Source organism: Homo sapiens, chromosome 1 (genome assembly GCF_000001405.40).
Source record: "Homo sapiens chromosome 1, GRCh38.p14 Primary Assembly".
Classification (NCBI taxonomy): Eukaryota; Metazoa; Chordata; class Mammalia; order Primates; family Hominidae; genus Homo; species Homo sapiens.
In genome coordinates, this window is record NC_000001.11 from 99,908,361 (window position 1) to 99,924,086 (window position 15,726).

Here is a 15,726-nt window from a genome sequence, read left to right on the forward strand (position 1 = left end):
ATAGGCCTCTGTGTCTGTCTTTATGACAGAACCACACTGTTTTGGTTAGTGTAGCTTTGTAGTAAGTTTTGAAATGAGGAAGCATGAGTCTTCTAACTTTGTTCTTTTTCTAGATTGTTTTGGCTATTCAAGGTCCCTGGAGATTCCATATTTATTTTAAGATGGAATTTTCTATTTCTACAAAGCATCATTCTCTTTGGAGCATTTTTATGATACCTCCCTTAAGCTTTTCTGTCAGATACTTCCAACATCTGAGTCACCTCAGTGTTGTCACCTGTTAATTGCCTTTTCTCATTCAGGTTGCGATTTTCCTGGTTCTTGGCCTGACAAGTAGTTTTTCGTGTTTTCCTAGACCTTTGGATGTTATAGGACACTGGATCCTATGAAATCTTTCATTTTACCAAGTAGCCGTTATTTAAGTTTAGTATGCAGCTTCTGGCCTACTCTTGTGGGCTGTGGTTTCAGTAACAATTTAATATTTAGCAAGGTTATTCTGGTCTACTTCATTCATGGGCTATCAGGAGGCCACTCAGGAAACCTGAGTGGAGTTCCACACTGTGTAATTTACTTCTCAAACCTTTGGGTGTGTTAATGCTCATCTGTTTCACATGTAGATTGGTCAGAGCCTGCCCAGGACTTCCTATACAGCTTTAAAGCGTGGTTTTCCAGCTTCCTCCTCTTCAGATCTTCCCTGAAATCTCTAGTTGGGAGTGTGAGGGGCACCCCATCACTGCTGGGCAGGGCATGGAAATCCGGACTCTCCACTCAGTCTCTGCTGACAGCATGCTGTCAGGAGAGGGGAGCACTGTCCCTAACGACCTGCTTCCACTGGGGGTGGAAGTCTATACTCCCCACCCAGTTTGTGCTAACATCATGCAGCAGGGGTGGGAAACACCCTGAGCTGCCTGCTGCCACCCCAAGGCCACCTACTACTGCCAGGTTGGGTGTGGAAGTTCATACTCCCCAGATTCCCCTCGTGGTGCCCGCAGGTACCACGCTGCTGAGGAAGGGGAGCACTGCCTTAAGCCATCTGCTACCCCCAGGTAGGGGATAGGAGTCCAGGCTTCCACTCAGTCTCCACTGACATTCCAGGGAGAAAGGACATCCATGGTGTTTACTGGCACAGGGCGGATGTTGTCACAAAAGTTTCTGTCTGGGTAGGGTCCCTCTTTCCTTTTCCTTTGGCTAGAGTCAATTGGTTTTTCTTGGAACTCTTTGTCATTACCTGTTGGAGGTTGCAGGTTGCTTTTCCAAGTTTACATCTCACCCAGACTGGTATATATGGAGAATTTTAAAAAAAGAAAAAAAAAACCAGGGAACTCACCACTATGACATTCCTCAAGTCTTGAGGTTCCTAGCCAATCTGCCTTCCTCTTTACACTTTTTGAGTCCTCTTATGATAGTCCACTGTATTATGCTCAGGGATTTTCATTGTACTTAAGAGAGGAAGATCAGGGAAAAATGAGTCTTCTCCCCTTTTTCATACCAGAAGTTTTTGAACTTTCTGTAGTTATGTGTGTTTGAGTATGTGTAAATTACTTATGCTATATATTACATAGCATATATTCAGTGTACTATAATATATACTATAATCAATAATTTATGTTTTGAGATTATACACAGATATTAGATATACCAGTATTATCTATGATTAAACTTTTACAAAAAAGTTATCTTACTATATATGTCCTTTTGCAACTTGTTTTATTCAATCATTTTGTTTTGGAGATTTATCTTTTTTATATAAATTTAAGGGGTACAAGGGCAGTTTTGTTGCATGGATATATTGGGTAAGGGTGAAGTCTGGGCTTTTAGTGTAACCATCAGCAAAATAATGTACATTGTACCCATTAAGTAATTTCTCATCTGTCACTCTCATCTCACCCTTCTGAGTCTCTGGTATCTATTATTCCACACTCTATGTCCATGTACATACATTATTTAGCTCCATTTTGATACATGTAAATCCAGTTCATTAATTTCAAATGGTATAGAGGGTTTCCCATTGTATGAATAAACTACAGTGTTTATCCATTCCTCTATTGAGCAGTTATTTTTTGTGAATGCAAGCAATGTGGCAGTGAATATCCTTGTACACATCTCCATGTGCACATAAGTAAGGGTTTCTCTAGAATATATATAGAAATGAAATTCCTATGTGGTAGAATATACACATCTCCAACTTTGTGCTTGTATATTCTGGATACAAAATAATAAGATACCACCAAACTGAGCTTTAGAGTGGTTGTCCTAGTTTATTATATTTAAAATTTTGTAAATGTTTTAAAATATTTGTATATACTATATATAATACTTATAAAATTTTATTTTATACACATTTTGTTTTTTAGGTTTTAATATAACTGCAGGAGTTGATGAAGAAACAGGATTTGTTTATGGAGGAAATCGTTTCAATTGTGGCACATGGATGGATAAAATGGGAGAAAGTGACAGAGCTAGAAACAGAGGAATCCCAGCCACACCAAGGTAGTGTAAATGTTATAATGCTGTGTAATTATACCCTTCTTTAAGAAAGCACTTACTTGTGGAATCTTTTATTCTGTTAACTATGAACTCTTTACATTAAGTCAATCAAAATTTCCCTGCCTTCTTCCCTTCATCTCCCCATTATACATTTACACAATCCTGTTGATATAAGTTATCAAGTAACACTATCTGTTCTTTTCTGTAAGTGCTCGTGGGTTGATTCTCTACAAGCACCTCAAAGGAAAGATTTATGATTCATTATCCCAGTGGTTAAGACATTTTCGTAACCTGAACTGCTTATTGATGTAAACATTTCATTATGCCCATCTTTTGCAAACATAGAAAACAACCAGTTGTTCTGTCTTTTATGCAATTCTTTCACTTTCTGAACCTTTTTTCCTAATTTTTAAATCTTTTTTCCTAATGTTTGTCATTTAAGAAGTTTTTATCATTTCAAATGCTAAATACATCATCATAAGCTATTAAAATCACTTTTAATATTACTATCACCCAAATAACGTACTTTGTACCCATTAAGTAATGTCTATTAAAATAGCTTCTGATACTGTATTAAGCTGAGAAGTTATTTTCTTATTCTAATTTTTTTTTTTGAAAGAGAGAGCCTCACTCTGTTGCCCAGCCTGTAGTGCAGTAGCACAATCATGGCTCACTGCAGCCTCTGTCTCCCAGATTCAAGCAATTCTCCTGTCTCAGCCTCCCAAGTACCTGGGGACTACAGGCGCACACTACCAGACAGGCTAATTTTTGTATTTTTAGTGAAGACGAGGTTTCACCATGTTGGCCAGGCTGATCTCAAATTTTTGGCCTTAAATGATCCACCCACCTCAGCCTCCCAAAGTGCTGGGATTACAGAAATGAGCCACTGCACTCGGCCTTTTATTCTAAATTTTATCTTCAGTAAGAATTGTCCAAAAAATAGTTGTGTACTGGGTGTGGTAGCTGACGTCTGTAATCTCAACACTTTGGGAGGTTGGGAGGTTGAGGTGGGAGGATAGCTTGAACCCAGGAGTTTGAAACCAGCTTGGGCAACATAGTGAGGCCCCATCTCTACAAAAAATAATTAATAAATAAGTTGCCATCTTTACATGCTTTACCAGTTTTTTAAAAATCTATTTGGTACATTAGATCCTTGTACTTCCCTTTTATTTTTCTTAAAAATGAGCTTTCAAATTAATGTGTCTGCCTTCCCTCACTTTCTCCAGCCCTATTTTTCATGTTTGCTATCTTTTCTCTAGTACCTTATCCCAATATTCAGATTCCTTACTCCTACCTTTTCCAACTGCCATCTTCTTTTATTCCACAATTCCCATTCTACATCATAGAATTTTTTAAAATTATGTGAGGATGATAGACAATGGCAAAACCGTGAGAGGAAAAAATCTTTACATGATATAGTACACATTCCTATAGAGTAAGGATTTTTTAATAGTTTTCATAATATGTTATATGATTCATTACAATTGTTTACCGAATGCCCTTTAAATAGTACTTAAAGGACGCCAACTTAAAGAATAAAAATACGTTTTTTAATTTTAGAGATGGGTCTGCTGTGGAAATTGTGGGCCTGAGTAAATCTGCTGTTCGCTGGTTGCTGGAATTATCCAAAAAAAATATTTTCCCTTATCATGAAGTCACAGTAAAAAGACATGGTAAGCTGGTTATTTTATTTACAAAGAACCTTCAAATGTACTATGTATATTCTCAACCTATGTAATCATCATTTGATTCTATCAGCTAATATCGGAAAACCCTTAAAATTAAGAAGAAAGAAAATTCATTAATTTACTAGTGTGAAAATTGTAACAATTCTAGTTGAACCATATTTGTCGCAACTTTGAACTGAGATAAGAAAGCAGCATAGCTGTTGCCTTTATTGTGCATGTCTTTTTCCTCACTGTGACTGAGCAAGTTGCATTTCTGTGAGCAATTTTGCAATCTTTACATGTCTTTTTCTAGAATAGTGCTGTCCAAAATAATGTGAACCACATACATAATTTTAAATTTTATAGTACCCACATTTTAAAAAGTAAAAAGAAGCAGGTGAAATTGATTACAAGATATTTTATTAAATCAGCCAGGTGCAGTGGCTCATGCCTGTAATCTCCACACTTTGGGGGGCCAAGGCAGGCAGATCGCTTGAGCTCAGGAGTTTGAGACCATCCTGGGCAACATGAAAACCCATGTCTACAAGAAATACAAAAATTAGTAGGGTGTGGTTATGTGAGCTTGTAGTCCCAGCTACTTGAGAGGCTGAGGTGGGAGGATGGCTTGAGCCCAGGAAGCGGAGGTTGCGGTGAGCCAAGTTCATACTACTGCACTCCAGCTTGGGTGGACAATACCAGACGCTGTCTTAAAAAAAAAAAAAGACATTTTATTTAACTCAGTGTATGTATATAAGATATTGTTTCAACATGTAATCAATATAAAATTATTCATGAGCTATTTTACATTCTTTTTGGGTGGTGCTACATCTTCATAATCCAGCTTATATTTTACATTTATAACACATCTCAATTCAGACTGGCCACATTTTCCAAAAGTGGATAATTTATTGCCTTGTAGTAGATAAAAATAAACTAAATATTACTATTTGTCTGTAACTAGATGTGTGAATTGTTTTGAATGATTAAAACTACCATGTCTTATGTCATTTTTCAGGAAAGGCTATAAAGGTCTCATATGATGAGTGGAACAGAAAAATACAAGACAACTTTGAAAAGCTATTTCATGTTTCCGAAGACCCTTCAGATTTAAATGAAAAGCATCCAAATCTGGTTCACAAACGTGGCATATACAAAGATAGTTATGGAGCTTCAAGTCCTTGGTGTGACTATCAGCTCAGGCCTAATTTTACCATAGCAATGGTTGTGGTAGGTGATTCGTTTGTAAAAACATTTCAAAAAATGATGTGCTAGAGTTTGCTTAGTTCCTTATTCCCATTTGTTTTCAAATTCACTTCATTGCTAAAAAGTAGTATATTGCTTACTAGCTAGTTTTAAATAGTCTTTCCTAATTAATCAAGTATTATGCGTATCACTTTTAACCTGTAACATTCAGTATCCAAAAGCCGAAAGTAATAGATGATGACTAATGAAGTGCTTCCTAGAGTTTTTCACATTCAGAGCACACATAGAAGATGTTATTTGTGGCCAGATGCAGTGGCTCACACACTTGGCGGACTGAGGCAGGAGGATCACTTCAGCCCAGGAGTTTGAGACCAGCCTGGATATCATAATGAAGCCCCACCACCATATTTGAAAAGAAAAGAAAAGAAAATGATATTTGTATAGCACAATAGGTTACATGGAGTAGGCTGCTTGTGCTAGATCCAACTACTTCAGTTAGCCCCAGGCCCCACCCAGCTACCCTGAAAGCTGAGGGTCTCTGTATCCTACACACCTGTGCTATAACCAGTGCCTCAGCACACTAGTTGGAAAGCCCTGAACTAGTGAACTAAAGTGGATAGCTTTAGTTAACATTCTGTTTTCATTGTTGCATTGCTGCAATCAGTTTGTCCGGCAAAGAATTTTAGACTCTCTGCTGTTTTAAATCTATACTTTAGTCTAAAAATAAACTACAAGGAAGTAAAATAGAGAAGGTATGTGTTCTTCTATGCCTGGCTAGCTGTTTTCACGTTGTCAAAAAGAGTACCAAACCTACTACTATAAATTATAGTAGAATGAAAAGTGTAAAAGTACACAAAGGTAGCTTTGGTTCAGCGTGGACCATTAAAATTAATGCATATTCTTGGTCAACAATGCTTTTCTCTTCTTTCTCTGTATCTCTGATAAATTTACTCATGCTATTGGAGTAAAAGTTCTGTGTTTATTTATGGCCCCAGAAGCAAACAATGGGTATCAGATGTACTTAAAGAAAGCTATTATGAATCTGCTGAAGAATGAGTTACATAAATTTAAGTGTGTGCTGTCTGGGTTCAGTGGCTCACACCTGTAATTCCAACACTTTGGGAGGCTGAGGTTGGAGGATCATTTGAGCTCAGGAGTTCAAGATCAGCCTGGGCAACATAGTGAGACTTCATCTCCACAAAAATTTAAAAAAAAATTAGCCATTTGTGGTGGTACACACCTGTAGTCCCAGCTGCTCAAGAGGCTAAGGCAGGATGATCGCTTGAGCCCAGGAGATTGAGGCTGCACTGAGCTCTGATCTCGCCACTGCACCCCAGCCTGGTGACAGAGTGAGACCCTGTCTCCAAAGGGGTTAAAATAAAAGTGTGTTCTGCCTTCAGTGTAGCTGTGGCAACTTCCTTTTGGAGCTGAGTAACTTTCTTGAGGTGACACAGAGAAATAATCACCTCTAAAGGCTTTCCTAACTTCTACGGCCAAAAACAGTCCTTCTAAGTCAGCCTCATAGGATTAGATCTGTTTAGGCATCTACACTCAAATTCTGACCCTCATGGTATTTTAAGTAATTTTTTTCAAGCTTATGAATAGTTTCTGTGGGTAGGAACTAATTCTTCTGTGATCTTAAAAATTTGTATATTTGTTTTTGGCATTCACTAGGCCCCTGAGCTCTTTACTACAGAAAAAGCATGGAAAGCTTTGGAGATTGCAGAAAAAAAATTGCTTGGTCCCCTTGGCATGAAAACTTTAGATCCAGAGTAAGTTGGAATATAAGTATTAAGAATGTTATCATATTTAATCCAAATACATTGACATCAACCATAATTTTTTTTTTTTTGCCAGGGCAACAAAAGGAGATGCCATCTCTACAAAAATAAAAGTTAAAAAAAAAATTAGTTGGGAGAGATTGTGTACACCTGTAGTCCTAGCTACTCAGGAGGCTAAGGCAGGAGTATCACTTGAGCCCAGGAGATCAAGGCTGTAGTGAGCTATGATGGCACCACTGCACTCCAGCCTGCTTGACAGAATGAGACACTGTATTAAAACACACACACACACACGCACACACACACCAAAACTCACAATTAAAGCTGACTCTTGTGACCAGCTCTCCAAAAAAAGAAAAGTAACAAATGGAGTATAGATAACTGTGTTATAAGTTCCATGTATTACAATAAAGCAATATGTATATTCAGTTGCTATTTGTAATCCGATAATAGGCCAATTTTAATTTTAAAATAATTTTATGGAGAAGCTTAAAAATCACCTTTCCAATCTATAATTAATAAAACCATGTCTTTAATTTTTATTAATTCAAATTATTCTATATATATTTCAATTATTAGATAGGCTTCAATATATTAGAGGCCTAGGAAATAGTTGACTTTAAACCAAGCCATATTTAGTGCCAGGCTAACTTCTTTAAGGCAAGATACCAGAATATTTTACATTTTTTATATTAACCAGTATTTGTTAATCATTTTTAACACATGATTAAAGTCCTGTGAACTCAGTATGTACTAATTTAAGGTTAGATGGATGATGTACTAATGCCGAGCTTATTCTGTAGAAGACAAAATAATTGATTATTTCTCTTACCTTTGTTATTGAAATTTTTCTAATGCTTTTTACATAATATCTGATCATCTTTTATTTAACTTAAATTTCAATCATTTTGCAGTGATATGGTTTACTGTGGAATTTATGACAATGCATTAGACAATGACAACTACAATCTTGCTAAAGGTTTCAATTATCACCAAGGACCTGTAAGAATTTCATTTATCTTCTGAGTTTCAGTTTAAATTATTTTTCAAGTAATTTTTAGGTATTTATGGTTTTTTTTGTCTTTTAAATAATCTTTTTTAGGAGTGGCTGTGGCCTATTGGGTATTTTCTTCGTGCAAAATTATATTTTTCCAGATTGATGGGCCCGGAGACTACTGCAAAGACTATAGTTTTGGTTAAAAATGTTCTTTCCCGACATTATGTTCATCTTGAGAGGTAAGTCATCAGGAGCATGTAATTTCCATAACTAGTGTTTAGTCAGTTTATTAGCTATTAGGTAAATTACAGTTTCTTAGAATTGATTTCTGTATGCCCTAGGTATCCCAATGAAAAGTGAAGCCTTTATTCTTTAACATGACAAATTCTGTTATATAATTTTCACTTTCTCTTATTTTGGGTTGTTATTTATTTTAAGTTGAGGTCTTGATATTGTGCGATTTATACATGTGGAATAGTCTTTGATTTTTAAAATTTCCCTGATGTTTTTGGATGTGGTTAGCACAGGATAAATATAAAAACTGAAGGTACTCAGCCTGGGCCTTTTGAGTTAATTGATTTAAAGATATATCAAGAAATAGTTTTCAGAAATGCTTTCATTATAGTTAAAATATCAGAACTGGTCTTTTGCCTGTTAGTTCAAAAAACATTTTTCACTTCCTTGTCCTAATTATTAGCAAATAGACAGTGTCAGAGTTACGTATCTTTATAAGAGTATAAATTCAGAGTGTATCTTAATTCCTCAAATTTTAGATTATACCTAAGTATATCTATATTCTATTCCTCAGATAATGAATAAACAGCACAAATTTTATCTCCTTTCTTACAAGCACATAAGGGACTTCTGCGTGTTTCATATTAATAGAGCCACTCCTGGTCTGTTTTGTTTGGTTGTCACCATGGTACAGATTTTACCATCCTTTTAAGCTATTTATGTCTTTGTATTTAAAGTGGCTTTCTTGTACATAGTAGCATGTAATCGGGCCTTGCTCTCGTGTAGCACAACAGTTTCTGCTTTTGGAATATTTAGACCATTTACACTTAAGGTCTGAAATTGTGAAATTTAAATGTTTGTTGTCTGTTTATTCTGTCTGTTCTTTGTTAGCTTTTTCCTCTTTTTGTGCTTCTTTTGCATTGAATATTTATTATTTCATTTTAATCTCCTTTGTTGGCTAATTAGATGTAATTCTTGTTTATTTAAAATGGCTGCTTTAGGTTTATAGTATATGTCTTTATAGTTTACCTTCCAGTGATATACCACTTCAAGTAAGGTATAAAGATCCTTAAAATAGTATAGTTTTATTTTTCCCCTCCCGGCCTGTGTGCTATCATCATCATCCATTTTGCTTTTACCTGTTATTACCCCCCACACTACATGGTTACTACATTTGTTTAGGCAGTCAGTTATGTTTTAATGATCTTTAAATAATATATTAAAAAGTCTAATTACTCTTATAGTTGCCATTTTCAGTGCTCTTCATATGTTTGTGATGTTCTGTATCTCCATCTTGTATCATTTTCCTTCTACCCGAAGGACTTTCTCCATCATGTCTTGTAGTGTTTGCCTCCTCATGATGAATTCTTTCAATTCTTATAAGTGTAAAACATCTGTGTTTTGCCTTTATTTTAAAGATATTTTCACTATGTATAGAATTCAAAGTTAAGCTTTTTTCTCTTTCATACTTTAAGGTGGTTACATTGTTTTGATAAGAAATCTGCATCATTTTTATGTCTAACCTACCATCACATCCATGCTGGTGTTTTTCATTTCAACGTTGTAGTTTTCATTTCTCAAAGTTTTATCTGGGCTGTTTTTATATCTTCCATGTCTCTGCTTAATGTTTTGAACATGTGGAATATGATTACAGTGACTCTTTTAATATCCTTGTCTGCTAATTCATTTCTGGGTTGCTTTTGCTTGTGATTGTTCTCTTTATTTTGGGTCATATCACCCTGCTTCTTTGCTTGGTAGTTTTTGTTTTTTGATTTTTGGAGCGACAGGGGTCTTGCTATCTTGCCCAGGCTGGTCTCGAACTCCTAGGCTCAAGCAGTCCCCCAACCTCGGCCTCCTGAAGTGCTGAGATTACAGGCATGAGCCACCACACCCAGCCATTTGCCTGGTTATTTTTTATTAGATACCAGATGTGAATTTTACCTTGTTGGGTGCTAGATTTTTGGTGTTTCTGTAAATGTTTTTGAGCTTTGTTTTGGAATGCAGTGAAATTACTTGGAAACAGTTTGATCCTTTCTGGTCTTGATTTTAAGCTTGTTAGACCTGACCAGAATAGCATTTGGTCTAGGAATAATTATTCTCCATTAGTGAATCAAGACCCATCTGTGTTCCCTACCCTGTATTTCGAAAATTATGACGTTTTCAAATCTGGCTGGTGGGAACAAGCAAGTGTTCCTGACGCTGTATGAGTGCCACATACTGCTTCTTCTCATCCTTTTGGATGGTTCTTTCCTTGTTCTTTGGTAGTTTCCTCTTGTGAATTTGCTGGTTGGTACACTACAGATACTTGAGTGGGACCCTCTGCATATCTTCAGAGTTCTCTCTTTGTACAGCTCCTTCCTCTCTAGTACTCTATCCTGCAAATTGTAGCTGCTTTGTAGTGTTCCTGGATTCTCAGTTCAACTCAAGGAAGTCTGCCAGGCTCCACCTGTGTTCCCCCTCTCTGTGCCAAATCCTGGAAACTCTCAAGGCAGTAAGGTATGGTAATCATAGGGTTTGCTTCATTTGTTTCTCATCCTTCAAGGATCGCTATTTGTTGCCTAATGTCTAATGTCTTAATGTCCAGTTCTTCAGTTGTATCAGACAGGAGGGAAATTCTGTCCATACTACTTCCTGTTTGTCACATATGGAAGTCCTTCCTTGCTTTCTGGCCCAGCAAGGTTTTCAACACTCATCTTTCACTTTCACTACCCCAGCCTGGAATTGGGCAATTCTCTAAGGATCCCTTGTTCTTTATAGTGAAAAATGTTATTTAGAAGCCAGATCTGAGCACATGGTGTATTTATTATTACTATGACCCCCAGTAGATAGGGCTAGGGAATATATAATAATACATAAACATAAGTAAATACATACACACTTATCTTCATCTCAATGTATCCTGTCTATGTGTGTTGAAAACCTGAGTTTACACCAGTTCCAAGCTATTTCTCAGTGTTTAATTCTATTTTTCTCCCTTTCTATATTTGTAATTCCCTTTTCCAACAATGAATAACCTACTTCCCACATTGGGCCATCACCACCACATAGAGTCTGCTCACCCAGCTTGGGCCTGCTACCCCACAGTAAGCCACCTCTATGTGTGGAGCCCTCCTGGCACCACTTGGATTCTAACTACCCACTCTGGACCACTCTCACCCTTGGTGGACTCCCTCTTCATACCTCTTGGACTCTAACATCCTGCTCCATACTACCTATTACCCTTTCCCCTCCATTTCTGGTCACCTACCTTGCTCTGTCCCACCTAATGACTTCAGGATGAATTTTTCAGGAAAGCAAGGGAAAGGGGACTTCCTTATATTTGTATGGATACATTCCATGTCCTAGTGTCCAAGTGTAATTATGGGCAGCATATTCATGGTTTTGTAACCTCATTTTGTTTTTTAATTTTGGTATCTGTTAGTTTGCTAGAGCTGCAGTAACAGAGCACTACAAACTGAGTGACTTAAATAATAGAAATTGTTAAACAGCAGAATATTGTCTCACAGTTCTGGAGGCCAGAAATCTGAAAAATCAAGGCATGGGCAGAGCCATGCTCCCTCTGAAGGCATTAGGGAAAGGTCTCTTCCAGCCCTGTCTCCTAGCTGCTGATAATCCTGTGGCTTGTGGCAGCAAAACTCCAATCTTCATGTGGCATTATCTTAACTAATTACATCTGCAGTGACCCGATTTCCAAACAGGTTCACATTCTGAGGTACTCGGGGCTAGGACTTCAACATACAAATTCTGTGGAGATGTAATTCAACACATTACAGATGCCCAGGTATCCAACTTCAGTCATTTGGCATTTTACTCTGATGTAGCTTGAATACTTGGAAACATACATTTTCTATATTTTCCATGTTTCTATGACAGTTTTTTAAATATGGTACCTAGCTGATATTAGTTATTATCCAAAATACCCTGTTTTACCTAATGGGATTATTTTTTCCCATTTTTACTATGAAGTATTTGATGCCCACTGAAGCGTGTATGTAATATAGCCCTGAGATACAAACCATAGTAATGAAACAAATATGTTCCCACAACCCAACTTAAAAATGAAACATTACAGATGTCTGTACTTTTTGAATTTGTTTTCATTTTTAAGGGATTACATTGAAATTAACAATAAATTTGATGTGCTAACATCACTGTGTTCTGATAAGGAGGGCTGGAACAAGTTATTTAACCTCTATAAATCTCTCTTACCTCTCTATAGATAGGAATACTTATGGTACCTTCCTTACAGGGTTACTGTGAACATTAAATGAGATAATATACATAAAAGCAGTATTAGAACATAAATGCATAATAAATACCAAGTTTATTATTCAGTAGAAAGAGAAATTAATTGGCATTTTTTTCTTTAAGTAGAAAGTATTCTGGAATGCCATTTTTCCGCCTAATCATAGTTCTTAGTGTTTCTTCATTACTTTTACTTTTACAGTTTTATCAAGATCACACATAACACATCTGCATAATTACAATTTGAGTCTCATAAACAAAATTATGCCTGAGAGAGTATTTATCTCTATGTTTATATGTAGCTTGTAATGGTAGTTTCTTCTATGTTTTTAATACATAAAGGGATTCCTTGTATTTAAAAGTCTCAAATTCCAAAGATGGAATGTCAAAGAATAATTTCAGTCTAAATTCATTTGTATGTCTTTAGGATATTGTTTTATTTTGTAGCAAATGACTACATATGATTATTTTCTACACTAGAAGGCAAAAATCACCAGGTCTTGCCTATTTTGTTAATATGAATTAAATTATGTCTTTGTAAAATGTCTTTTCTTTCATTCAGATCCCCTTGGAAAGGACTTCCAGAACTGACCAATGAGAATGCCCAGTACTGTCCTTTCAGCTGTGAAACACAAGCCTGGTCAATTGCTACTATTCTTGAGACACTTTATGATTTATAGTTTATTACAGATATTAAGTATGCAATTACTTGTATTATAGGATGCAAGGTCATCATATGTAAATGCCTTATATGCACAGGCTCAAGTTGTTTTAAAAATCTCATTTATTATAATATTGATGCTCAATTAGGTAAGATTGTAAAAGCATTGATTTTTTTTAATGTACAGAGGTAGATTTCAATTTGAATCAGAAAGAAATATCATTACCAATGAAATGTGTTTGAGTTCAGTAAGAATTATTCAAATGCCTAGAAATCCATAGTTTGGAAAAGAAAAATCATGTCATCTTCTATTTGTACAGAAATGAAAATAAAATATGAAAATAATGAAAGAAATGAAAAGATAGCTTTTAATTGTGGTATATATAATCTTCAGTAACAATACATACTGAATACGCTGTGGTTCATTAATATTAACACCACGTACTATAGTATTCTTAATACAGTGCTCACTGCATTTAATAAATATTTAATAAATGATGAATGATAGAAGTTTCCATCTACAATATATGTTCCTAAATGGAGCACAGATGTTCAAACTATGCTTTCATTTTTTCACTGATATATTAATTTTTGTGTAATGAATGCCAACAGTATATTTTATATGATTTACTTATGTGAGGAAACATGCAAAGCATTAGGAAATTTATTTCCTAAAAACAGTTTTGTAAAATTAGTATTGAGTTCTATTGAGTATTATAAGATAGCTTACATTTTCAAAATGGAAATTGTCGGTCATATTTCTAGAACTTTAAAGAAAAAAGAATGTTATATTAGTTTTCTAAAACTCAACTATCTTTAGTCATGTTCAAAAATCTATTGCTAGATCATAGTAGATACTGGTTTTCTATTAACTCAAAACCTACATTGACAAGTTTAACATTGAGAAGAATCTTAACAAAAATATGGATATGAATTCAGTAGATATCTTAAATTCAATAAAATCACTGGAAGTTTTTCATGATAACTTATTTTAAGATGCCTTAAAAATCTTAAAGTCACAAAAGGAAAAAGGTTTTTAACATTTACATGAGTTAACATTTTTTCATAGAACTTATTTCCTAGATAGAATTTTTTACTGTTTTTTACTGTTTTCTTAAGAAAACAGTTAAATCATTATGCATTCAGTTGGAAGAAAGTAGTGGCAAGAATTCTTTCATTGCTATATAATATTCAGTGGCTCATTTATACCTAATAAAATAATGGTATTTTAAAATAATGCTACTTTCAAAGTAGCATTTTTTTAGTTAGTTTACAGGTTACATACCCAAAACCTTAACTATGACTAAGAAATTAAAGAAGAAAACCAGCAAACTAAAACTTCTGGGCAGCAAAAATATATAAATGCTTCAGATGTCAAATACCCATGCTTGAAAGCTCGTGTAATTTACTTTAAGATTATCTGCCTGCTCTTCTTCAAAGCTGACCTTGCTTTAGAAATAGTTTTAACTAGCTTAGTTTTCTGGTTTCCAAAACTAAAATAGATTAAATCCTACAAATTTAAGGACAGTTGTGACAGTAATCTGACCACTATCTATAAATACATTGGACATTGGTTTCCAAATCTCCCTTTCTTCTTCAGTTCCTTCCTTGTTCAATATATACCCTTCTCTAAACTGTGCGGGTAAAAGGAATGACTGTCCTTGAGAGAACCATTAGTTTATCAAAGGTTTATGTAGTTTTGTTGCTGTACCCTAACTTTGATATTCAGGGAGGTAGGAAAGGTAACAGAAAACCAGCATATTTAATCAAAGCAAGAAGTAATCGCTGACAGTTAAATGTGACCAAAAAAATTAAAAGTTCACAATTTTTTTAATGTAGCCATTTGGGGTTATCTCTAGTAAGGCAGATACCCACGTTGGTAAATTTTTAGGATATTGTGTTGCACTAGAAAACTAAGTGGTTCATATTTCTAATGAGGAAGATTAATGAAAGAACATTGTTATATTCTGCGTGGTATATTTTAAAGTTTAAGAAGGCATGTTAAACATTATTTCCTCTATGGTAGTTAAAATACAGAATTAGATTTTTAACAGGTGTCATTTGACTAAACGTTTCGGTAGAATGCTTCATACTTGAGTGATGCTGGATAAGGTATTGTATTTCAACAATGGACTATGCCTTGGTTTTTCACTAATCAAAATCAAAATTACTCTTTAACATGATAAATGAATTTACCAGTTTAGTATGCTGTGGTATTTTAATAAGTTTTCAAAGATAATTGGGAAAACATGAGACTGGTCATATTGATGAATATTGTAACATGTGAATTGTGATCCATTTCTGATATGTCTTGAACTACTGTGTCTAGTGGGCAAATGTCATTGTTACCTCTGTGTGTTAAGAAAATAAAAATATTTTCTAAAGGTCTGTATTTTGCTTTCATTCATAGTCATTGCACCCAGCTAATTTTTTATTTTTTACTTATTTTTTATT

General features: G+C 35.2%; 1 protein-coding gene and 1 long non-coding RNA gene across 21 annotated transcripts in view; one reads left to right on the forward strand and one right to left on the reverse strand.

Moving 5' to 3' along the window:
• AGL (amylo-alpha-1,6-glucosidase and 4-alpha-glucanotransferase) overlaps window positions 1–15,663 on the forward strand; it is a 74,766-nt gene extending 59,103 nt beyond the window's left edge. For 11 of the 13 annotated variants that reach the window (NM_000643.3, NM_000644.3, NM_000646.3 and 8 more), the window contains 7 exons: window positions 2,352–2,487; window positions 4,045–4,157; window positions 5,167–5,378; window positions 7,029–7,126; window positions 8,050–8,137; window positions 8,238–8,371; window positions 13,174–15,660. In NM_000643.3, coding sequence (NP_000634.2) covers window positions 2,352–2,487; window positions 4,045–4,157; window positions 5,167–5,378; window positions 7,029–7,126; window positions 8,050–8,137; window positions 8,238–8,371; window positions 13,174–13,291 — 899 coding nt within the window. In that variant the 3' untranslated portion in view covers window positions 13,292–15,660. Of the gene's footprint in view, window positions 1–2,351; window positions 2,488–4,044; window positions 4,158–5,166; window positions 5,379–7,028; window positions 7,127–8,049; window positions 8,138–8,237; window positions 8,372–13,173 lie in introns of all 13 variants that reach the window. The other 2 variants (XM_005270557.3, XM_017000501.3) reach the window with 1 other exon arrangement.
• Window positions 4,837–15,726, reverse strand: part of LOC124904230 (uncharacterized) — a 124,812-nt gene continuing 113,922 nt past the window's right edge. For all 8 annotated transcript variants that reach the window (XR_007066249.1, XR_007066245.1, XR_007066243.1 and 5 more), the window contains one exon: window positions 4,837–4,857. This is a non-coding gene — a long non-coding RNA (uncharacterized LOC124904230). The remainder of the gene's footprint in view (window positions 4,858–15,726) is intronic.